The sequence below is a fragment of the Homo sapiens genome, chromosome 17 (genome assembly GCF_000001405.40).
Source record: "Homo sapiens chromosome 17, GRCh38.p14 Primary Assembly".
Classification (NCBI taxonomy): Eukaryota; Metazoa; Chordata; class Mammalia; order Primates; family Hominidae; genus Homo; species Homo sapiens.
The window spans coordinates 62,752,073-62,776,391 of record NC_000017.11 but is presented as its reverse complement, the minus strand read 5'-3'; the positions used below and the strand labels follow the sequence as shown (position 1 = coordinate 62,776,391).

The 24,319-nt window shown below is 45.2% G+C and overlaps 1 protein-coding gene across 16 annotated transcripts in view, besides 2 other annotated features; it reads left to right on the top strand.

Moving 5' to 3' along the window:
• The window catches only part of MARCHF10 (membrane associated ring-CH-type finger 10), a 107,001-nt gene that overhangs the window by 31,923 nt on the left and 50,759 nt on the right, over positions 1-24,319 (top strand). For all 16 annotated transcript variants that reach the window (XR_934406.4, XM_005257102.4, XM_005257100.4 and 13 more), the window contains one exon: positions 16,386-16,557. Coding sequence is in view for 15 of the 16 variants with exons in the window: in XM_005257102.4 (XP_005257159.2) it covers positions 16,386-16,557 (172 nt within the window). In the remaining variant the exon portion in view is untranslated. The remainder of the gene's footprint in view (positions 1-16,385; positions 16,558-24,319) is intronic.
• Positions 13,646-14,172: an enhancer, noted in NCBI's record as "OCT4-NANOG-H3K27ac-H3K4me1 hESC enhancer chr17:60839581-60840107 (GRCh37/hg19 assembly coordinates)". NCBI's record gives its function as "activates a minimal SCP1, AML or CMV promoter by ChIP-STARR-seq in naive H9 embryonic stem cells {active_cell/tissue: H9 hESC(naive)}" and the evidence as "EXISTENCE:reporter gene assay evidence [ECO:0000049][PMID:30033119]".
• Positions 14,173-14,698: an enhancer, noted in NCBI's record as "OCT4-NANOG-H3K27ac hESC enhancer chr17:60839055-60839580 (GRCh37/hg19 assembly coordinates)". NCBI's record gives its function as "activates a minimal SCP1, AML or CMV promoter by ChIP-STARR-seq in naive and primed H9 embryonic stem cells {active_cell/tissue: H9 hESC(naive and primed)}" and the evidence as "EXISTENCE:reporter gene assay evidence [ECO:0000049][PMID:30033119]".

Sequence of the window (24,319 nt, the reverse complement as noted above, 5' to 3'; positions counted from 1 at the left end):
CCTCGTCCTTGCACGAGGGTGATCCTGCCATGTGGCCGGGTTGATAGAAGCACCAATTGTTATCCCAGCTCAGTGAATTGTTGGTGCAGAGGATTGGTGACCTCTGACCCAAAGGGTTCCCTGTGTTGATTGGTCTTAGCAGCGCAGACATTGTGTGAGAGGAGATTATAATAAAATGTCTTTTTTTCCTTTGTAAGTAGCGCTATGTGTTTGTTTACTACATTTTCTTTAAATTCTCTATTTTGAAAAATGTTTCCAGTTTTTAAAACCACAGTACTTATTAAAAACCATTTAAGGGCCAGCGCAGTGACTCATGCCTGTAATCCCACACTTTGGGAGTCTAAGTTGGGAAGATCACTTGAGCCCAGGAGTTCAAGACCAGTCTGGGCAACACAGCAACACCTCATCATTACAAAAGATTTAAAAATTAGCCTGTAATTCCCGCTACTTGGAAGGCTGAGGTGGGAGGATCACTTGAGCCCAGGGGTTCAAGGCTGCAGTGAGCTATGATCACACCACTGCATTTCAGCCTGGGAGACAGAATGAGATCCTGTCTCTAAATAAATAAATAAATAATTGAAAAGACGTTAAAATTCAGATATCAAAATTTTAAAATTTTTAAATTGTGAGATAAAATTATTCAGGTTCATACCTGCATTCCACATATTTTATAACATATAGCATTTCATCCTAAAACTCTTTTATTTTGTTTTTATATTGCTTTATTCATTCAGAAATTATAATACAATTATTATTTGTCAATTAAAAATAAAATAAAATTTTTTAAATTTAAAAATAAAAAATAAGGAAACTAAAGTCACTTGTGTACAAGACACCGTGTTGGGTACCATGGGGATGGTAATTAATAAGCCACGCCCCCCCCCGAGTGGCTGACAGTGTTGGTAAACTAAGGCATTATACAAATGTCTGTAGTTCAAAACTGTGTCTGATGAGCATAATAAAAAGACTATGGGGGCCGGGCTCATGCCTGTAATCCCAGCACTTTGGGAGGCCCAGGTGGGCTGATCACCTGAGGTCGGGAGTTCAAGGCCAGCCTGGGCAACATGGTGAAACCCCGTCTCTACTAAAAATACAAAAATAAGCTGGGCGTGGTGGTGGGTGCCTATAATCCCAGCTACTCGGGAGGCTAAAGCAGGAGAATTGCCTGAACCCGAGAGGCAGAGGTTGCAGTGAGTGGAGATCACACCACTGCACTCCAGCCTGGGCGAGAGAGTGAGACTTCATCTGAAAAAAAAAAAGGAAGGCCAGGGGGAGACCTGGGAAAGCTTCATAGAGGATGCAGTTTTTTTGTTTGTTTTTGTTTTTTCTTTTTTGTGGAGATGGGAGTCTTGCTCTGTTGCCCAGGCTAGAGTGCAGTGGCAAGATCTCAGCTCACTGCAACCTCCGCCTCCGAGGTTCAAGTGATTCTCTTGCCTCAGGCTCCCGAGTAGCTGGGATTACAGGCACAAGCTACCACACCCGGCTAATTTTTGTATTTTTAGTAGAGGCAGGAGTTCACCATCTTGGCCAGGCTGGTCTCGAACTCCTGACCTCGTGATCCACTCACCTCAGCCTCCCAAAGTGCTGAGATTACAGGCGTGAGCCACCATGCCCGGCCTTTGAGGATGCAGATTTTTAAGCTGGATCTTAAGTCACTGACAAGATTTGGGAATCTGGAGGTGAGGCTGGGGAGCTGTGGTAGAGAGGACGTTACAGGAGGAAGGAAGACTCTGAGTCAAGGAGGGGTGGCAGGTCTGGGAAACGGTGAGCAGTGCATCCTCCCTGCAGCGCAGGAAATGCACCTCAGACCCCTTCTCAGAGCTCCCTCCCCTCCCTGCCGCAGTGAAGCTGGCTTTTCCTTGAGGCTGTCCTACTCCCACTGCTGCTCCAGACCACTGCCCACCAGGCTCTGGTGGAAACACTGTCCACCGAGGCTTGTGCTGTTTCATTCTACCATCCTCTCCCCCTTGTCATTCCTGCCACTGTTAGTCCCCTGGCAGTGCAGACTTTGGCAGGCAGTTCAGTCTCTGTCCCCACCACATCTCCTGATCTGCCACCACAATCCTTGACTCCAGCATCCTCCAGGCTAAGCCAGCCACATCCTGGCATCTCAGATCCCGAGTTCCTCAAGTGCCCTCCTCCGTCCCACTCTGCCACCCCCATCCCCAATAGCACATCCCAGGTGGTGTCATCGCCCAAAAGAATTTCATCTCCAAAATCGCTGGATCATCACAGGTCTCCAGACCTTCCGGCTCTGCTGTTTAACCATTTCCCAGTGACACTTCCTCCACCTCTGGGGAACCTCTCGCCCGTGGATTCCTCTTTCCTTGCCCTGTGATTGTCCGCTCCACACTGACGTGTCCTCCCTACACAGCCTAGGTCCTGTGCTTGACCCTCTTAATAATTCTCTTGTCCTTTTGTCTTCTTTTACACCTGTCTGGTGAAATCCCACCCATCCATCATCTTCTGCCTCATATCCAGGCCACTGACCACTGCTGGAGAAAAGTCACTCAACTTTCAAAAGTGATGCCGCTGAAAGGCCACAGCCTCTGGAATTCCTCAGTGCTGCCCCGCTTCTTTGGTCAACGCTGTCTTCCTCCTCAAACCGTCTTCCTTCTCCCTAATCTTCACGCCCTCCTCTCTTCCACCTCACGCCATAGTGTCCCTCAGCTAGAAATTTCCTGAGCTTACTGTTACTCCAGCCGCTGTCTCCCACCATCACCGCCCTCTCCACCTGTGCCTGGGATCCCGTGAGCCTGGGTCTCATCCCTTTCCCATCTGGATCCCCTGCTCTGTGCCAGAGCCTTCCCATCCGCATTTAATTGTGATCTGAGATCTCTCAGCAAAAAAGAACAGAACAGCCCTTCCTTATCCCACATCCCCCTCCACTTATTTCTTCCCCTTCACAGCCAAAGTTCTCAAAAGAATTATTTACACTGACTGACTCCATTTCCCCACCTCCTACTCACTCCTCAGCCCACTCCAATCTGGCTTCCATGCTCATCATTCCACAGAAATGGCTCTTCAGCAAATGACTTCCCCGTCTCTGCACGCAGCGGGTCTCTTTCTGTCCTCACTGTGCTTGACCTCACAGCAGCTGTCCATTTGCTTGGTCACCAGCCCCTCCTGGACACACTGTCCTTCTGAGCTTCTGCAAAGCCACCTGCTCCTCTTGGTTTCCCATTGTCTCCAGGGGCGGTTTCTCATTCTCCACTTCTCATCGTCCTCCACCCAGGCTCTGAACCTTGGGATTCCTCGAGGATGGGCTCTCTTCTCATCTCTTCCTTGGTGTTTTATCTCATTTTTGTGCCGCAAACCTCTTTGGCCGCATGGTGAACTCCCTAGATCCCCTTCTCAGAGTAATATTTTCAAAAACATAAAATGAGATACACGGGCTTTCAAAGGAACCCACTTTTATTGAAATAGTCATCAAAATATTTTTAGAAAGTTGTGATTGAGTAATATACATGCTTCTTTATTAGCACATTAAATAACAAGCGATGGGTGTAAAGGGTATTTTGAGACATCTGCAACCAATTTAATGAGATGTGAAAATATCTGTGATTTCTAATGGTGACAAAAATCACAGGTCCTGCTAATGCTGCTGTGGCTTGTTGCCTGCATTCGTAGATGAAAAATATGCTGAGATTTCATTAGAGGTTGGAGAAAATAAAGGTGTAATTTTTTTCCCATGCAAGTGAATGCCCTGCCCCCAAGAAACTCTGTTTCTTGAACATTTTAGCAGCCAAAGTCAAGATGTCAACTGCCAATGACTCCCAGGCCTACATTTCCCACCCAAACCTCACTTTGATCCCCAAATCAGAATATCAAGCTGTTTACTCACTGTCTCACTCAGGCATTTCAAAAGACACCTCAAGCCCAACAGGCCCATGCTAGAGGTCCCAGTGTGGCCCTTCCTTTTTCCTTTTGTGCATTGTAATTAGTCCATTTTCACATTGCTGATAAAGACATACCCAAGACTGGGTAATTTATAAAGAAAAAGAGGTTTAATGGACTCACAGTTCCACATGGTTGGGGAGGCCTCACAATCATGGCAGAAGGCGAAAGGCACTTCTTACATGGCGACAGACAAAGAGAGAACTTGTGCAGGGAAACTCCCCTTTATAAAACCATCAGATCTCATGAGACTTATTCACTATCACAAGAACAACACAGGAAAGACCCACCCCCATGATTTAATTACCTCCCACCGGGTCCCTCCCATGACACATGGGAATTGTGGGAGCTACAATTCAAGATGAGATTTGGGTGGGGACACAGCCAAACCATATTATGCATCAGAATGGGACATTTTCTCTCCATCTCCCCCCGCACTGAATTCGTCACCAAGTCCTTTCCATTTCACTTCCTCAATACCTTTGAATCCATCTGGATCATCTTGTCTGCCACCATCTCATTGAGTTACTGCAGTGGCCTCCTAACCAGTGTTCACACTCACACTCCTGCTCCCAGATCCCATTTTCTATAACACAGGTAGAGAGATATTGACAAGCAGGCTGGGGGTGGTGGCTTGCGCCTGTAATCCCAGCACTTTGGGAGGCCGAGGCTGGCAGATCAGTTGAGGTCAGGAGTTTGAGACCAGCCTGGCCAACATAGCAAAACTCCGTCTCTAATAAAAATACAAAAATTAGCTGGGCATGGTGGTGTGCGCCTGTAATCCCAGCTAGTCAGGAGGCTGAGGCATGAAAATTGCTGGAACTCTGGAGGCAGAGCTTGCAGTGAGCCGAGATCACACCACTGTGCTCCAGCCTGGGCAACAGAGTGAGACTCTGTCTCAGAAAAAAAAAAAAAAAAAATAGATATTGACAAGCAGAGCTCAGTCCATTTTATTTGCCTGCTTAAAATCCCTCCATGGCATTCTGTGGCTTTTAGCTTGAGGATGTAACCAACGAGGCCCTGCGAGATCTAGCTCTCCTTACAGCTCTGCATTTCACCCCCACTGGCTTTGTGTCCTCTGAAGTACCCGGCCACCTCCTGATAGAGCACCTTTGCACGTGCTGTTCCCTCCCCTTGCAGCACTCACCCCCTCCCGCCATGCCTGAGATTGCAGCTGAGGTCACTTCCATAGGGAGGTCTCTCTCAGCTCACTAGTTACACCCCCAAACTAGATTAGGACACCTCCATCCCCCATTCCATGTTCTTATGGGTGTTCATATTTCCTTTTTTTAAAAAAAGTCTGTGACTCTACTAATTTTACATTTGTTTAATAATTATTAGATTACATGATCTACAGCCACATAGGTGTGGCTAGGAATTGGGAGGCTTGGGCGGCTGGATCATGAGGTCAGGAGATCAAGACCATCCTGGCTAACACAATGAAACCTCGCCTCTACTAAAAATACAAAAAATTAGCCAGGCATGGTGGCGGGCGCCTGTAGTCCCAGCTACTAGTCAGGCTGAGGCAGAAGAATCACTTGAACCTGGGAGGCAGAGGTTGCAGTGAGCCAAGATCATGCCACTGCATTCTAGCCTGGGAGACAGAGTGAGACTCTGTCTCAAAAAAAAAAAAAAAAAAAAAAGTCAAAATACAGACCAGGTGCGGTGGCTCACGCCTGTAATCCCAGCACTGTGGGAGGCCAAGGCGGGTGAATCACCTGAGGTCAGGAGTTTGAGACCAGCCTGACCAACATAGTGAAACCCTGTCTCTACTAAAAATACAAAAATTAGCTGGGTGTGGTGGTCCACGCCTGTAATCCCAGCTACTCAGGAGGCTGAGGCATGAGAACAGTTTGAATCCAGCAGGCCGAGGTTTCAGTGAGTCAAGATCGTGCACTGCACTCCAGCCTGAGAGACAGAGCAAGACTCTGTCTCAAAAAAAAAAAAAAAAGTCAAAATACAATAGATGCTGGCAAGGCTGTGGAGAATAGGGAACACTTACATACTGTTGCTGGGAATGTAAATTAGTTCAGCCACTGTGGAAAGCAGTTTAGAGATTTCTCTAATTACTTAAAACAAAGCTTCCATTCAACCCAACAATCCCATTGCTGGGTATATACCCAGAGGAAAATAGATCATTATACCAAAAAGACACATGTATATGTATGTTTATTGCCATGCTGTTTGCAATAGCAAAGACATGGAATCAGTGTAGGTGCCTATCAATGGTAGATTGGATAAAGAAGATGTAGTACATATACACTATGGAGTACTACACAGTCATAAAAAAGAAAGAAACCATGTTCTTTGGAGCAATATGGATGGAGCTGGAGGCCATAGTCCTAAGGGAATTAACGCAGGAACAAAAACCCAAATACCACACGTTCTCACTTATAAGTGGGAGCTAAATATTGAGCACACATGGATATAAACAAGGGAACAACAGATACTGTGGACTACTAAGTGCACTAAGGAGGGGGATGTGGATTGAAAAACTATCTATTGGGTACTATGCTCATGACCTGGTGCAATATACCCATGTAACAAACCTGCATATGTACCCCCTGTATCTAAAACAAACATTGAAAAAAATTTTTAAAAGCCAACTTGAATGAACTGCCACTCACCATTTTTGGCACAATTTGAGGAACAAAAAAAATTGAATAAAACATATCCTTGAGAATGCAATGATAATAAAAAGAAAAAAGAAAGGGGAAGGGGAAGAAAATACTTCTTTAGAGAAGAATGCTAGCTAATAATTGTAAAAGGAATGTGGAATTAGGCTGGGCGTGGTGGCTGACGCCTACAATCCCAGCACTTTGGGAGGCCGAGGTGGGGAGATCACTTGAGCTCAGGAGTTCGAGACCAGCCTGCCCAACATGGTGAAACCCTGTCTCTACTAAAAATACAAAAATTAGCCAGGCATGTTGGCGTGCACCTATAGTACCTGCTACTCAGAAGATTGAGGCACAAGAATTGAACCTGCAGGGCGGAGGTTACAGTAAGCCGAGATCACGCCACTGCACTTCAGCCTAGGTGACAGAGCGAGACTCTGTCTCAAACAAACAAACAAACAAACAAATGTAGGATTAGAAAATCATCAATTTTGCTACCCCAATGTAATTATCAATATAGGCAAAGCACATTAAAAGGTGCTAAAATCATTGGGTAAAATACTACTTAGGGACAGGCTATTCAATCAGTGCCAAAGAACCATCCCACTGATTACCTGCTAGTTACAAAGGGAAAAAATGTACCTTTACATTGGAGAAATCTGGTGGTCACCACCTTATCCTATAGATCAAACACAGCATTTACCAATATTGGGACAACCTAACAAGGCACCTGCTGATAGGATATTATAAAGAAGGACACCACACCACCTATAAAATAATCACACCCAAAACAATTGAACTGAATTTTATTATGAGGAGCAATCAAATTTAGAGCGTAAGACATTCTATGAGACAGCTGACTGGATCACTTCAAAATGGGAAAAATAATTAAAAAGCCAAAAGACCAGAGAATTGTTCTAGATTAAAAAACTAAAGAGACATTGTGCCTTGACTGAATCATTGATCCAAATGTATACCCAAAAAGACATCTTGGGGACAATTGGGTTGGAATCTGCTCTGCATATTAGAAAATATGATGGAACGATTAAATTTTCTTAGGTAAAATAATGGTATTGTGGCATTGCAGGAGAATGTCTATTTTGATAGGAGATGCCTGCTGAAGTATTTAGGGGTAAAGTATCTTGAAGTGTGGTCATTTTGAAAATGTTCAGAAAAAGACTATATATAAAAAGAGAAAGCAAATTGCCAAGGTAAAGAATAAAGGGTGTGATTTGTACTATTCTTTCAATTTCTCCGTAGATTTGAAACTTTTCAAAATAAAGTTGAAAACAGTTCTAGAAAGGTATCTATTGCTGCAAGGTATTGTTAAGTAAAACAGTATAAATGGTACAATTCTTTTGAGACGGAATTTTGCCCTGTCACCCAGACTGGAGTGCAATGGCGTGATCTTGGCTCACTGCAACCTCTACCTCCCAGGTTCAAGCGATTCTCCTGCCTCAGCCTCCCAAGTAGCTGGGACTACAGGTGCCCATGCCACCATGCCCGGCTAATTTTTGGTATCTTTAGTAGACACAGGCTTTCACCATGTTGGCCAGGCTGGTCTCAAACTTCTGACCTCTTGATCCACCCACCTCCGCTTCCCAAAGTACTGGGACTACAGGCATGAGCCACTGCACCTGGCCCATATGAATGGTACAATTCTATGTTAGAGTAATGTTAGCTGCTGTAACAAAGGGACCAAGAATGCAGTGGCTCAGTCGACAAGATAAAAGTGTATCTCTTGCACACGTGACAGTCCTGGTGAGATGTGCAGGTCAGCAGGCAGCACTTCTCAGACTTTCAGGGACTCAGGCTGATGCTGGTTCTGCCGTCTTCAACATATGACTTTCAAAGTTGTTGTTCTCCAGCTCACAGGAAGGTGATAGGCAGAGGTGCAGGGCCAGATATTTTCTCTGTGGAGGCTGCACACATTGCTTCTGCTCATACTCCCCTGGGTGAGACCTTTCTCCTGAGTTGCAGTGGGGCAGTAGGTGCAGGGGCTGAACGATTCAGTTCAAGATGGGCAACCACACATCCCGACTTCAACTCTTAGCGATTTAGAAGGGATTTTGCTAGAAAGGTAGTAGTCTCCATCAGTCATTAAAAAGTGTCTAAAAGAATACAGGGCCGGGCATTACAGGTGGCTCACACCTGTAATCCCAGCACTTTGGGAGGCTGAGGCAGGTGGATCACTTGAGGTCAGTAGTTCAAGACCAGTCTGGCCAACATGGTGAAACTCCATCTCTACTAAAAATACAAAAATTAGCCAGACGTGGTGGTGCATGCCTGTAATCCCAGCTACTTGGGAGGCTGAGGCAGGAGAATCACTTGAACCTGGGAGGTGGAGGTTGCAGTGAGCCGAGATCATGCCACTGCACTCCGGCCTGGGCGACAGAGGGAGACTCCATCTCAAAAAAAAAAAAAAAAAAGAATACAGACCCACCAATTCAAAGCTTTTATTTCAAGGTTAATTGGTTTTTGAATGTTTTAAATATCTTTATGCTTGTTTTTGTTTTTCCATTCTGAGCATGCATTTCTTTTGTAATAAAGAAAAGAATTATGCTTTACAAAAATAAACCATTGAAACCACAAAGAGATTATTTGACTGGCAAATTTGCAGGATGTTTTGTTTTCTCTCTCTAAAAGAAACATATAGCTAAATTGTAAGTACTACTTTAAGCATTCTTCTACTCAGAAACCTTCAGTGGGACCCCACTCTCTATCACATTTGCTTGAATCTCAGGGCTCCCCACAATCTGGCCCACACCCTCCTCCTCACCCCATGCTCAAGCCACCTGCCTGGCTGTCCTAGAATCACGCCTGCTCTTTTCACTCCATCCATCCTGCGGCTCATGTGCTACCTCCAGCCTAGCCAGACCCCACCCATTCTTCAAGTCCCAGCACACACCACCACCTTCCCTTGACCTTTCACCTTTTCCCAGGGGTTTTCCATGACATTTAGAATGGGTGCAACAGAACGTATCCCTTGATTAAACATTGTTTTCCGTTTTGCTGGTAAGTCATTAATCTTATCTCTCTCCTTGTCAGCTTATTTCTGTATCCTTCACAGAGCCTAGCACGGTGTTAAAGACATAATAGGCGCGTATGATACATCTCAATTGACTTCCATGTTTAATGACCTGTTATTCCGAATAGGAAGCATTTTCATCGATGATCTCCATTTGATGGCCAAGCCCCCTGGTGTTGCTCAGATGCTCCTCTCAGCTAAAAGAATATGAATTCAAATAAAGGATGAAGGGGAAACACATTGTAGCAAAACCATATCTGAAAGACACCTACGTCAAGGGCAATCTCAATGTGCTGTTAAACTATTAAACACCGCATTTTAACGTTCTTTTTTTCTTTTCTTTTCTTTTTTGAGACGGAGTTTCGCTCTTGTTGCCCAGACTGGAGTGCAATGGTGCTATCTCAACTCACTGCAACCTCCACCTCCCAGGTTCAAGTGATTCTCCTGCCTCAGCCTCCTGAGTAGCTGGGATTACAGGCATGCACCACCATGCCCAGCTAATTTTGTATTTTTAGTAGATACAGGGTTTCTCCATGTTGGTTGGGCTGGTCTTGAACTCCCAACCTCAGGTGATCTGCCTGCCTCGGCCTCCCAAAGTGCTGGGATTACAGGCGTGAGCCACCGCGTCCGGCCCCAATTATTTATTTATTTATTTTGAGACAGGGTCTTGCTCTGTCCCCCAGGCTGGAGTGCAGTGGCACAATCACAGCTCACTGCAGCCTCAACCTCCTAGGCGTGGGCAATCCTTCTGCCTCAGCCTCCTGAGTAGCTGGGAATATGAGTGCACACCACCATGCCTGGCTAATTTTTTTTTATTTTTTGTAGAGACAAGGTCTCGCTATGTTGCCCAGGCTGGTCTCAAACTCCTGGGCTCAAGTGCCTCAGCCTCCTACCGTGCTGGGATTACAGGCGTGAGCTGCCATACCCAGCTGCATTCCGGTTTTTAAAATCTATCAATTTCCTGGCCACATACTGCTTCCTTTTCGTCCTCGCACCACACAGAACCCTGCTCCTGCTACAGCCAGATAATACTACAGACAGGTGTCCCTAGTATTTGGAAGCGGGAAAAATGTGTGGTCACCAACCAAGTAAACTGAACAGTGATTTCTGCAGCACACAAAGGATTGCCTGGCATCATAAGAAGTACCTAGCACGTCCTGCTTGCCATGTCAGTAACTTGCAGCGCGAAGTTTCACTCTGGCCGTTCCATAGTGGGCTGAATAGTAATCGCAAAGCAAGCAGACCCACATGCCTCTCCTTCAGAGGGCACCCCCGTAGTGATGGAATGTTATGAAGACTTAAATCACCGAGGCCACTCTCCAGCCAGGGCCACAGGCTGGGTCGTTTCAACTTGCTGGACTGAAAATCCGAGAGAAGCCTGTAGGCAGGAGGGTGTTCTCTGTGGAACTCGATGGTAGACAGGTGCCTGTGATATTTAGGCAATCTGGCAGCCCAGCTGACTCCAAAAGGCATCTTTTTTTTTTTTTTTTTTTTTTTTTTGAGACAGAGTCCTGCTCTGTTGCCCAGGCTGGAGTGCAGTGGCACAATCTCAGCTCACTACAACCTCTGCCTCCCGGGTTCAAGCAATTCTCGTGCCTCAGCTTCCCGAGTAGCTGGAATTACAGGCGCATGCCACTACGCCCAGCTAATTTTTTTTTTGTATTTTCAGTGGAGACGGGGCTTCACCATGTTGGCCAGGCTGGTCTTGAACTCCTGGCCTCAAGTGATCCGCCTGCCTTGGCCTCCCAAAGTGCTGGGATTACAAGCGTGAACCACAGCACCTGGCCTCCAAAAAGCATGTTCAGGCAAAATGGAGACCAAGGGCATGTAGTGCCTAGTCTTACCCAGCTCCACCTGGCAGCCACGTCTTCAGATAGGGGAGACAGATGAGAGTCAGCAGCAGTTTGATTCAGGTGGGTGGTACCTGAGTCCAGAAAGACCAAAAAGCCTACTGAGCCTCGTTCTTTATTGTCCAAGCGTACAATTCTGGCACACTCAAAATTGTCTTGAACGCACAGGAGGGATTTTGCTGCTGTAAGAGTTTTTTTCTAGACAAGAGAAAGTTTTGCTTGCTTCGTGCTACAACAGCACTTTGTGCAGGACATATTTTACATTTCATGACTACGTAAAGGTAGCCGTCCTATCCAGAATGCTATTTATACAAGCTGCCCTCAATTCCCTAAGGTGGTTTTTGTGTTTGAAGCACAATTTGAGTGTGGGCTTTGGGGACAGTGCTCTTGAAGGTGGCACACACAGTCCCTTGATCGACCTTCCCATGTTGTCACTGTTTAAAGGTTGAGGTTCACTGCCTTGATCACACTCCTTTATAATCTCACGAGACCAAGTTCATTTCAAATGTACTCAACACAGTCTGGCGCCAGCTTGACACTACTCTTTGCCTTTTCCCTCCCATCCACAGCAAGCTGTGCCCTGCACTATATCATAGATCCACTTAGCTCAGCCTCCATCACGTGACTCACGGCAAAGATGGGTTCGGTACACATCAATCAGAATTCAGTAGCACCTCTCGGGGAGGGACAGAAATGGCATATCAGTTAAGAACCAGTTTGCCGGTTCTTGGAAAGGAGCCATCAGGCAATAGTTGGAAAATAACTTGAAGTCTTTTCTGTCCCCGACTGCCTTAGTCTACTTGCTCTTCGGGTCATCTCTGTTCACTGTCGCCTTATCATTTCAGACACCATATTGTTAGGTCCTAGTTGTTAAGAATTGAATCATTCTCACATTCCCGAGGAGATTCATCCCCCTTCTCAACCCATGCGTTTTCACCTTCCAGGACATCTACTTGAACCATGATGTCATTACCTCACTGCCCAATGCTACTTACCCAGTTAAGTTCCTTCTCTCCTCAGTGTGGGCCTTTCTGTGAACTTTTGAAAGCGCGTAGCCCTGGGCAGAGTGATAACTCTACTTTATTAGACATGAGGCCAGTAGAGCAAGTTCGGGATCTTTGGAAAACCTTAAGTACAAAAATGACGATTCTCAAGAAAATACTGATTTCGTCAACTTATTTTAGTTAACATGGCTTTGTTAGAACTTTCATCAGATTCTCAGCAGAGAATGTGAAGTATACTTAAGTGTCACGTAGGTTGGGTTTTGTTTTATTTTGGTTTTTGGTTTGTTTTTAATGTCGTGGGCTTTGATTTTTAAAGATAGAGCTGGCTTTCGTCCCCCAAAGGAATAGCAGTGTGCTGTTGCCTCCACCTCCAAGTGACATTTCAACTTGGGGACACATGAGGAAGGAATGAAAATTGTAATTATTTTTCAAAATTACAAGAGGAAAAGATGCAATTTAAAAATCAACTTTAAAATTAAAATTTTAATTATTATTGTTTGATTATCTCTAATGTTGTCAAATATTTGCCATTAGAGCTTTACTGTCTCAAAAACCATTGCACCATATTTTCTTAAAACTAGATAAATTTCAACTGGCCATTTATAAGATTGTCATACTATTATAGATTATATTCCCTGGAGAAGAAACCAAGAGTCTGGTGTGGAACTAACCCACGTCTCCATTCATACCACCCTTTTGGAATAGGTGAAATCCAATAGGATTTTTCACTGGGGACTTTGACTTTAGTTTCAACCATAGGTAGTAAATGTTCAGTAGTTAGCTAGTTAATTTTATAAATGGCTGAACATGAATTAATGGCTAATTATAAAAGCCAATACTTGCATGGCGCTTGCTGGGTTACATGTATATGGTGCTGTTCTAAGTGCTATGCGTACATATATATATTATGTAATCCTCACAAAACCACCAAAAGGTAGATACTATTGTTCACAAATGAAATCTGAGATCCAGAGAAATGAACTAACCCAATGTCACACAATTACTATGTGCAAGAGCTGGGATTCACTCCCGTGGAGCTGGGCTCCAGGGCCTTAAGTACCACACTTTAGTGCCAGGATGATTTACTACAACTTCTCCCACTCAAGGACGATCCTCCCTGCGTGATACGATGGGGTTTCATGAAAGAGGATAGGCCGGGCGTGGTGGCTTACGCCTGTAATCCCAGCACTTTAGGAGGCCAAGGCGGGCGGCTTGCCTGAGCTCAGGGGTTCGAGACCAGCCTGGGCAACATGGTGAAACCCCATCTCTACTAAAATACAGAAAATTAGCCAGGCATGGTGCGTGTGCCTGTAGTCCCAGCTACTCAGGAGGCTGAGGCCGGAGAATTGCTTGAACCGGGGAGGTCGAGGTTGCAGTGAACCGAGATCGCGCTATTGCACTCCAGCCTGGGTGACAGAGCAAGACTCTGTCTCCAGAAAAAAGAAAGAAAGAGGATAGATGGGAATGGCTGAGAACGTAAGAAGACAGAATAAAGACCAAAAGGTGGACGTGATTTATTTAAGATTTCTCAATGAGGCAAGCAGGAAAAAAGTCCATTAACACATTTGTAAGTATTACACTTCTTGCCATTGTACCTTCGGTTTACAACTGATAAAACACCAACTTCTAGCTGCAATTTCTAGACTCTTAATGATTACTACCTAGAAATAAGGTTGATTGAACCAGAGAAGGATGTATTCACAATGTAGGCTCACAATCCCGTAGGTAACAGGATGATTTAATTGGCCAAGCTTTCACCTCTTCAGTGCACTAAAGGCTTGAGGTTTAATGAATGGGTGGAGGAAGGATAAACGTGGCTTAACAGCTCAACCAATAAAGGTCTCCTCCCTATTCACCACAGCCTGGGGCAAGCCAAGAATTCCGGCCCTGGCTGGGGGTAATGGAAATGGATCCGCGAAGATGAGCTGAGCGGACACCTGCTGCTGCTGCTGCTGCTACTGCTGCTGACACAGGTGTTGGTCATCCTCGCCTGGAGCATTTTTCCTGCCTTTCTGCTGGCTGGAAATAAAGGGCTCACTTGCAGGGCCCTGTGGGAGTTGACTTAACCCACTGCAGTGAGCTGATTTTGTTGGGCAGTTTATGGAAGAAATTCTGTCCCTTATTCATTGATGCTCTTCTTGGGACCCAGTTCCAGGACTGTGACTTCCAGGACCCAATTACAATGACATTCTTAGGTGTCATACTTAAAATGTGCCCGCATTTTCTTTTCTGAGAATAGAGAACCTATCTCATGTTCAGAAATGACCTAATGTTTTAGCCAGGCACAGTGGCTCACGCCTATAATCCCAGAACTTTGGGAGGCTGAGATGGGTTGATCACCTAAGGTCAGGAGTTCGAGACCAGCCTGGCCAACATAACGAAACCCCGTCTCTACTAAAAATACAAAAATTAGCCGGGTATGATGGTGGGTGCCTGTAATCCCAGCTACTCAGGAGGCTGAGGCAGGAGAATTGCTTGAACCCGAGAGGCGGAGGTTGCAGTGAGCCAAGGTGGCACCATTTCACTCCAGCCTGGGCAATAAGAGTGAAACTTTGTCTCAAAAAAAAGAAAAAAAGAAAAAAGAAATGACCTAATGTTTCATCTTTGACATTTCAGAGTTATTTGCAAGGATTTCAATTAAATAGCAAAATCGAAAAGGAAAGGGGAGAACAGTCAGTTTGTTGTGTCTTGTGCTTTTCTGGTTCTTTTATCTGAGGGTGGTCTGTTTTCTGAAATTGTGCGGAGAAACAAGAATTATTTGTTTGAAGGCTGTATCCAAACTCTAAATTTAAAATATGATTCATCATCTTGGAGCATAATGATGTGTCCACCTGTAGATTTATGTAGACTTCTTTACAGAAGACTGACAAGTAGAGGACTTTTTTAGAATTTAGTTTGTCTTACATCACACCCAATAATTCAAAGCTACTCAGAGTATTTTCCTGAGTCAGGAGCCTGTGAAATGAAAATGCCACAACTGACAGGGAGAACGGTGAGCAAGATCAATACAAATTGCAACAGTTGGGGAGGTACCAGGGATGTTAATTTAGCATTCTATGCCTGCAAAAGACCACATTTTCACAGGACTTTCCAACACTGGACTAATGTGCAATGGAGGAGAGAGCTTAGTGCCCCCCTCCACCCCCACCGCAACGACCCCCCAGGGTCGGGGAAGGGGGAACCTAGTGATTTATTTGTTGCAGAATGGATAGCCTAGCAAGTCATACCAACACCAGGACCTAAAGCCATCAGGCTGTACTTAAATCACCTTTAAGACCAGGTTTCTGATATTTATATTGTTTTCATCCTTTCTTTGGTGGGTGTAAGTGTGGCCAAGTATAAAGCTGTTCCATGCCTGGATAATTTTTATTGCGTCGGCATGGCTGTGTTGAGATATTCTGACACAGCAGGAATCATGATTTGTCCATGCATAGATTTATACTGACTTCTTTATAGAAGAGTGACAAGGAGGGGACTTTTTAAAAGATTAGTCTGTCTCGTGTTGCACCCAGTAACGCAGAGTATTGAAACTGAGGTCTGATTTAATCTGCCTCCGTCACACTATCTACATTTCCTTTTCATTGTCAAATGTATGATTAACATAAGGAACATTTTTTCTTCTAGCCTATCTCCAAAGTAGTTCAAATAACAAACAATAAGAAGTTTAAAAGCACATGCGCTATTTATCTGTCATCAAATTACTTAAGGGTCAGAAATGCATTCTTTTCATAACGTTCTACAAAACACACTCACAGAAAAATGCATTCTTTCATAATGTTCTACAAAACAGACTCACTAACTCTGCCATTATTTCTAAGTTGCTCTGCCCAGTCCATCTGAATCTCTCTGGTGAACGGGCGTGTTGACCTGGCAGAAGACTCTAGGATTATTGCTGGAGAGGGTCACTGCATTTGCCTCATTTCTGTTTTCTCTGCCTAACAAAGTTGACCTACTTGGCCACTGAGACTCAGACGTATTTCATTTTTGGTAGAGTTCTAGTGAGGAGGATGCTCTAACTGAACCAAGGTCATCTATCAAGATATCTGCATTTAAGTGTGACTCCAAACTTCCAGCAATTGACCAAACATCAGTCAAGCAGAAACATAAAAGTACCATGACTGTAAGGAAAGCAGAGAAAGTGGACCCCAGCGAACCCTCTCCAGGTGAGTGGCTGGCTTATTGAAATTCATCAGATCTAAAATCCCGGTATTAAAAATAACAACAACAGGCCGAGCACGGTGGCTCACGCCTGTAATCCCAGCACTTTGAGAGGCTGAGGCCGGCGGATCACTTGAGGTCAGGAGTCCAAGACCAGCCTGGCCAGCGTGGTGAAATCCTGTCTCTACTAAAAATACAAAAATTAAACAGGTATAATCCTGTAATCCCAGCTACTCGGGAGGCTGAGGCAGGAGAATCGCTTGAACCCGGGAGGTGGAGGTTGCAGTAAGCCAAGATGGCACCACTGCACTTCAGCCTGGGCAACAGAGCAAGACCCCGCCTCAAAAATAAATAAGTATAACAACAACAATCAAATTGATGGTATTGGTTAAACCTAGTGTTTTCTGAATGGCTAATTCAGGTTTCGAAAGGCCAGTGATCCTATGCAAACAGTAACATTAATTTCAGAGTAGAATATAAGGTCAAAGAGGCATGAATCGTGCAATGTAACTTTCTCCACCGCCCGCATTTTCTGCCCAGTCATTTGTGTGGCTTCCGCCTAGAGCTGCTGCCTTTTCATCTTCTTCACCCTTCTTGGGGATAAAGGCATTTGGCCCCAGGTATCAAGTTTTATGGCTCAAGCAAGAGCATAAAGAGAAGCTTTCAAATACATCTGAATAGCATAATTTATAGCCAAGAGAGAAAGTAATAAAGTTTTCCTGTTCTGGGTTTGTCCTCTCTGAGAGAAAAGGTGCTTGATAAATTCTCCCTTTTGTGCAATTTGGAAAAATAGTCACTCTTTAGCTGCCTTAGAGTAAAGACCAGTCTTCTGCCTGGGGCAGGAGTGATTTAATAGTATCCAGAAAGGGGATAAAATTCACTGAAACTTTAATGTCTCTCGGGCTCATCTCCATCAAAGACAACAGCTATAAGACAAACTTGATTCCTCCAGGAACTGAGGTTTAAGTTGGAGTAACTAGGCAGAAAGGTCTAAGTTGAGTGGAAAGGATCCAGGCTAACTGCTGAAGAATTCGTCAACAGTGTGCAATTCATTAAAATCCAAATCACAGCTACTTTCCAATCCTAAATAGCTTCTGCGGTGCAACCACCCATCCAGTTAAGTCTTCACGCATTTTTAGAACATGGCAGCTTTCACTCAGATTAACCACCCACATTTTATTGCTTTAACGAAGTCAAAACCAAATTGACTTCTGAAATGATGTCCTCTCAGGCAAAGCCCCAGCTCTTGCTTCTTATTTAATCAGGGGAAAGTATCATCACAGTTAATTTCTCATTTTAAAGACTTTTGGTAGGAATTAGGCTTTTAATTCAGCTGTTTAAGGTTGAAATAGAGCAGGTAAGGTCATTCCACCAATATTTCAAAATACAAGTTGTAATTTATCGAATTGAGGATGTTTTTAATGGCAAAAGTTTGAATTTCAGGGTTTTTTTGTTTTTTGTTGTTGTTGTTTTTGTTTGTTTGTTTCTGTTGAGACAGAGTCTCGCTCTGTTGCCCAGGCTGGAGTGCAGTGGCACGATCTCAGCTCACTGCAACCTCCGCCTCCCCGGTTCAAGCGATTTCCGGGTAATTTTTGTATTTTTAGTAGAGACAGGGTTTCACCATGTTGTCCAGGCTGGTCTCGAACTTCTGATCTCAAGGATCCGCCTGCCTCTGCCTCCCAAAGTGCTAGGATTACAGGCGTGAGCCACCGCACCTGGCCTGAATTTAAGTTTAAATAATGCAACTCCATTTATGCAATATAATTTTTAGCCCTCTTGCTAAAATCAGGTGGTTGTTTGTATAGTGTGCCTTGTCATCGTGGAGAAAAATCATTAAAAGGAACCGTTTAGATCCACCCAATGCTTTAGTTTGTCTAATTAATACAGATGTACTTCAGACTGAGCAAACTCTGTATGGAACTTATAGCACTGACAAAAAGGAGGAATTAATTCACTTAACATTCTTTAAAACATCAAATTTGAAGAATTACCAGACAAAAACACCAGGTTTCAGTGACAGAGCCAAGTTGGCAGAAAGATATCTATTTCATCAAATGAGGGATGTTACTTGTAGTAAAAGCCTCTACAAACCACCAGCTTCATCACTGCGTTCTGGCCCTAGACCACGTCCAAGACCCATGCAGACGTCAGCAGGGCTGTGGCCTGGCTGTCCCCAGGCAGAGCAGTCCTGGTGATGGATGGCAGTTGCTGCAGAAGTGGAATCAGTTGTGCAGCAATCTGGCTAAAAACAAAGCATCGATGTGTTAAGATCCATCCATTTTACATGTGTAGACTCACCCTCTGGGCTCCCTAATTAGCATAGTGAAATGAGAACTGAGACATGGCAAGGATTTTAGCTGAGTCTGTTCAGGAAAAGTTGAGCTCAGTGGCAGTCGTGACAGTTTTCTGCTGTTACAGAAAAATAGGATTTGGTACCTGAATTAGCTGGACACGTTGATCCAATTCACTAGTTAAAGTCACAGTTCCTTGCTTTCCTCTGTAGAGAGATATTTCTCTAAAGCATTTTGGGGGTGATACAAAGTTGGCAGTAAGTCATCAAAACTTCTTCCATGTCAGACCTGAGATTCTGTACGAAATTGAAGCATCAAACACAGTGAAATTCCTTCGCAACATCTGCCTAATAGGCTACAGAAGTAGAATCTGGTATAACTTCCTGTGTTATACCAGACTTTTACTGAAAAAAAAATATATAGCTGGGGAACATGGCTCGACTCACTGCAAATCTATGTAATGATAATCCATGTCATCAAAAAAGCATTTTTCTTTGTATGTAATCTGCCATCTAGAACCTCCAAAACAACTATTTAAAATATAGGAACTATCAATGCCCTCTACAAACAGATTTGTAACTGAGAAGGCATCAGATTGCTCTTCATCCTGTTAGAAGGAATTCACACGTTTAAATTAAGTTTGTATAGTCCATGAAACTGCTTCTGGATGAGTGACTTGTGGTGGTCCTTGTTATATCTCTCCATGCAGTGGCGCATGCGGTTTATGGGCAAGTGTTTTGGAGTCAAAATGTTTGCATTTGCATCTGGGCCCCATTTATTTGCTGTCTACCTTTGGCCAAGTAAAGCATTTCTGTGCCTCAGTTTCCTCATCTGTACAATGGGGAGAAACAGATCCTGCCTGCTGGGATTGCTGTGAGAACTCAATGATAAAACATACATCCAGCCTTTAGGACAGTCCCTGCCGCTGTGGCAACTCAATTAATTATTGCATTATTATTCCTAGCACATGACAGCAGCAGGTAATGAGGAGATGGGACTAGAAAACTTTGTTTTCTTTGTCTTAAGGTTGTCCTCCCAAAACATCTTTTTTTCTTTACAAAATCAGAGTTGTATTTTATTGATTGACTGATTGATTGATTATAGAGATGGGGTCTTACTGTGTTGCCCAGGCTGAAGTGTACTGGTGCAATCATAGGTCACTGCAACCTCAAACTCCTGGGCTCAAGTGATCCTCTGACCCCGGCCTCCCAAGTAGCTGTGACTACAGGCACACGCCACTATGCCTGGCTAATTTTTTACTTGTTTTGTTTTTGTTTTGTTTTGTTGTTGTTGTTGTTTTGAGACAGAGTTTCACTCTTGTTGCCCAGGCTGAAGTGCAATGGCGCGATCTCGGCTTACGGCAACCTCCGCCTCCCGGACTCAAGCAATTATCCTGCCTCAGCCTCCCGAGTAGCTGGGATTACAGACATGCGCCACCATGCCCAGCTAATTTTGTATTTTTAGTAGAGACAGGGTTTCTCCATGTTGGTCAGGCTGGTCTTGAACTCCCGACCTCAGGTGATCCACCCACCTTGGCCTCCCAGAGTACTGGGGTTACAGGCATGAGCCACCACACCTAGCCATTTTTTTTACTTTTTATGGAGACGAGGTCTTGCTTTGTTGCCCAGGCTGGTCTTGAACTCCTGGGCTCAAGTGATCCTCCCGCCTTGGCCTCCCAGAGTGCTAGGATTACAGACATGAGCCACAGCACCCAGCTCAGAGTTGTATTTTTTAGAATCTCTAACATAAATGCAGGTACAACTACTTTTACAACACTCTGAGTTTCAAAGCAAAATGCCAAATGGAAAAAGATGAAGAATCAGACAGCATTCACCAAGCCAGAGAAAGGCTTTATCTCCAGAAAGACGTGGAAAATTCAGGCAGTGAGTCAAGACCTGGCCGGGTCTCACGTGCAGTCAGCTCAGAAATCCCACATCATGAACGCTGGTGTAGGGTGAGATATGAGCCTAGTGGAGTTACATGTTCTTAGTTACATGTTCAGAATTGTATATATACCCTTGAGACCCAGAACAGCTAGCAGGCCCAGCGAGTGCAGAGGCACAGGGACATTTGGGGAGCTGCGGTGGCCTCCAAGGCCTGCCTGCTGTCAAGACCTCTCCCAGCCCCACCCTGAGTTGGAGAGGAGCCGCCTCTCCTTTCCAGGACACGAAGGGGCATCCAGAGGCCACTGTGCTGTGGGATTCTGGCACCTGGAGTCCTAACGAGCTCCCTACCCTAGGGCCAGACATGTGGGAAGCAAGCGTCCCCTCTCCTGCCCTCTGCTGTCACCTGGAGCTTGGGCATGGTCCCCTGAGCTGTGTGCCAGGAAGACAGATCTGGATGGAGTCCTGTGAACCTGCTTCCAAAATCTTGCCCTTTAAAGCAAAGCCAAGTGTTCTGAAATTATCCTCACTTCTTATTGGGTGCAATGTTAGTCATTACTGGGTTCAGATTTGCAGGAGTAAGAAGACTTTTCAGCTGTAGAGTGGATTATTGTGAGGACAGGTTCTTGTAAAGCTAAGAAAAAGCAGTGCATTCAGATGTTAAGAGACAAACATCTAAAATAACTGTGGTCTCTTTTGGATGGGGAAATATTTATTTGAAGAGCAGCCTGAAAGAGAAATTTGAGGGCAAATCCTAAATCCTCATAATTCACCTTGCAAATACATTCTTCTGAAGATTTTCTCTGAAAGGCCAGATTAATGGTTTTCGCGGCAAGTCCAACTGGTGTCCAGGAACTTTCCAAGCTATCTGCCAAGTTAGAAAAAAACAAACAATTTAAGTGGATACTCCCACTTTTTAATAGAGAATCATATTCTCTATTATGATACATGCTCTCAAGACAGGGGGGCTCGGGGTTGTCGCAGAGCCCAGAATGAAGTCTTGGCTCCAAATCCTGGTGCTATCACTTTATAACCCCATAAATGTGAGCGGACAACTTCTCTGAACTCAGTTTCCTCATCAGTAAAATGGAATCCTTGCCAGTCTCACCAGGTAGATAGGTGGGTGGAAACCCTGGATGTAGACCAGGCTTTAGGCAAAGGTTAATCCCCAGGCCTTCCGCTGCTTATGAACCCTCCTCCCAACACCGCCAACTACTCCAGGGCTAATGTCTCCATAAGAACACTGCTTGACCAAAGACACTTGTATTTGAGATGTAAGAGTGGTTAGAATTTGGCCGGGCGCAGTGGCTCATGCCTGTAATCCGAGCACTCTGGGAGGCCAAGGCAAGCGGATCACCTGAGGTTGGGAGTTAGAAACCAGCCTGGCCAACATGGTGAAACCCTGTCTCTACTAAAAATACAAAAATTAGCTGAGTGTGGTGGCATATGCCTGTAATCCCAGCTACTTGGGAAGCTGAGGTACGAGAATCGCTTGAACCCGGGAGGAGGAGGTTGCAGTGAGCCGAGATTGTGTCACTGCACTCCAGCCTGGGCGACAGAGTGAAACCATGTCTCGACAACAACAACAAAAAAAGTGGTTATAATTTGATTATTAAAAATTTTAACGATTTGATCATCAGTGAAGTCATCCGTTTATCCAGTACCTATGGGGATGTTAGCAAATACATCCAACTGTCCCCCACGTCCCAGGGTGTATGATACCAGGGCGAACTGGTGTACTCATCCACTGCTCATTCATTCAGCACTTCATTTATACGTATTTACCTGCCGGGTAATGGGGAACCAGAACACAAAACACACGGGGCCTGCCCTCCAGGGCTCCCAGCCTGGTGGGTGAGCAGGATTCCAATAAGGGCAGATAGTGCAAGGCGCACCCTGACCAAGGTAAGTTCTAAGAGCTTGTGGGCAGGGCCAGGTGGAGTGAAAATCCTGAAGGACAGGGGTTTAACCAGGTGAAGAGGGCAAGAAAGATGTGCCTGGCAGCAGGTACTGAGTGTGCAAAGGAACGGAGGAGAGGGAGCAAGGAAGACAGGGAGAGACACATATCGAGGAGCTACAGATAATCTAGGGCCTTGTGCTCCAAGTGTCCCCAGGCAAGTAGCAGAAACCATCATCTGAGAGCTTCTTAGAAATGCAGAACCTCAGGCCCCAGTCCAGACTGACTGGCTCAGAACCTGCATTGAAGAAGATCTCAGGGATATTCCTATGTACATTTGAGTTTCAGAAGTTGTGGTTTAGGGCCAGGCGTGGTGGCTCACGCCTGTAATCCCAGCGCTTTGGGAGGCTAAGGTGGGTGGATCACTTGAGGTCAGGAGTTCAAGACCAGCCTGGTCAACATGATGAAACCCCATCTCTACTAAAAATACAAAAATTAGCCAGATGTAGTGGTGCGCACCTGTAATCTCATCTACTCGGGAGACTGAGGCAGGAGAATCGCTTGAACCCAGAAGGCAGAGGTTGCAGTGAGCTGAGATCACGTGACTGCACTCCACACTCCAGCCTGGGCGACAGAGCAAGGCTCCATCTCAAAAAGAGAGAGAGAGAGAGAGAAGCTCTGGTTTCTGGTTTAGGGTCAGGCTACAAATTAGGAAATATAAAGTTGAGGCCCCACCGGTAGGCAAGGATCAGGCCTCCAAGGGCCTTAAATGTCATGCTGGAGGCGACGGGGCATCAGTCCTGGAAGGGCTCTGCATAGGAAAGTGATGCAATCAGATTGGATTTTTAAAAGCTGACTCTGACTGCAGCATGGAGAAGGGCCAGCTGAGAGTGTGAGGGTGGCCAGACACAGCCAAGAGACCAGACAAGTAGCAGTTGCAGGGGATGGGGGAGAAATGAGAAGGGCTTGAGCGGGAGCAAAAGCAAAAGGAAGAGGGCCAGATGCAGTGGTTCACACCTGTAAGGAATCCTAGCACTTTGGGAGGCTGAGATGGGAGGATTGCTTGAGGCCAGGAGTTCAAGACCAGTCTGGTCAACATAGCAAGACCCCATCTCTATTAAAAAAAAAAAAAGCAGAGGGAATAGGAAGAGGGAGTGGGCTTGAGGGCCATTTAAGAAGTAAAGCTGGCAGAACTTGGTGACTTGGATGTAGGGATAAGGAAGAAAGAGGAATCAAAGAGAACTCAGGAATCTGGCCCAGGAAACTAGGTCAGTGGAGGTTGCCTCTGCCAAGGCTGAGGAAGCAAGGAGAGGGTGGGTCCCCTTTTGCGGTGTTGCCTTTGAGCTGCAGGCAGGGCAGCCAGGTGGCAATGCCAGGAAGCACCTGGGGACCCAGGTCTCCTGCCCAACAGAGCACTCCCCTTCCTCCCAGAGCACTTGCTGGTAGGACCCAAGGGCCTGCAGTGAGTAAGAGGTGGCTGAAATGGCAAGAATGTCTCCCCTGAGTGGATGGAGTAAGAAGAGAGATGTTGGGGGGACTTTGGGAGATAACAACTGTAAAGAGAAGAATGAGTGAAGACAGCTAGAGAGAGAAAAATGATCCCGAGAAATAGGAGCCACTCCAGAGGCCATTTAGGAAGAAAGAAGTGGATAATATTTACTCGAATCCTCTGTAGCATGGCACTAAGGACTGAGAC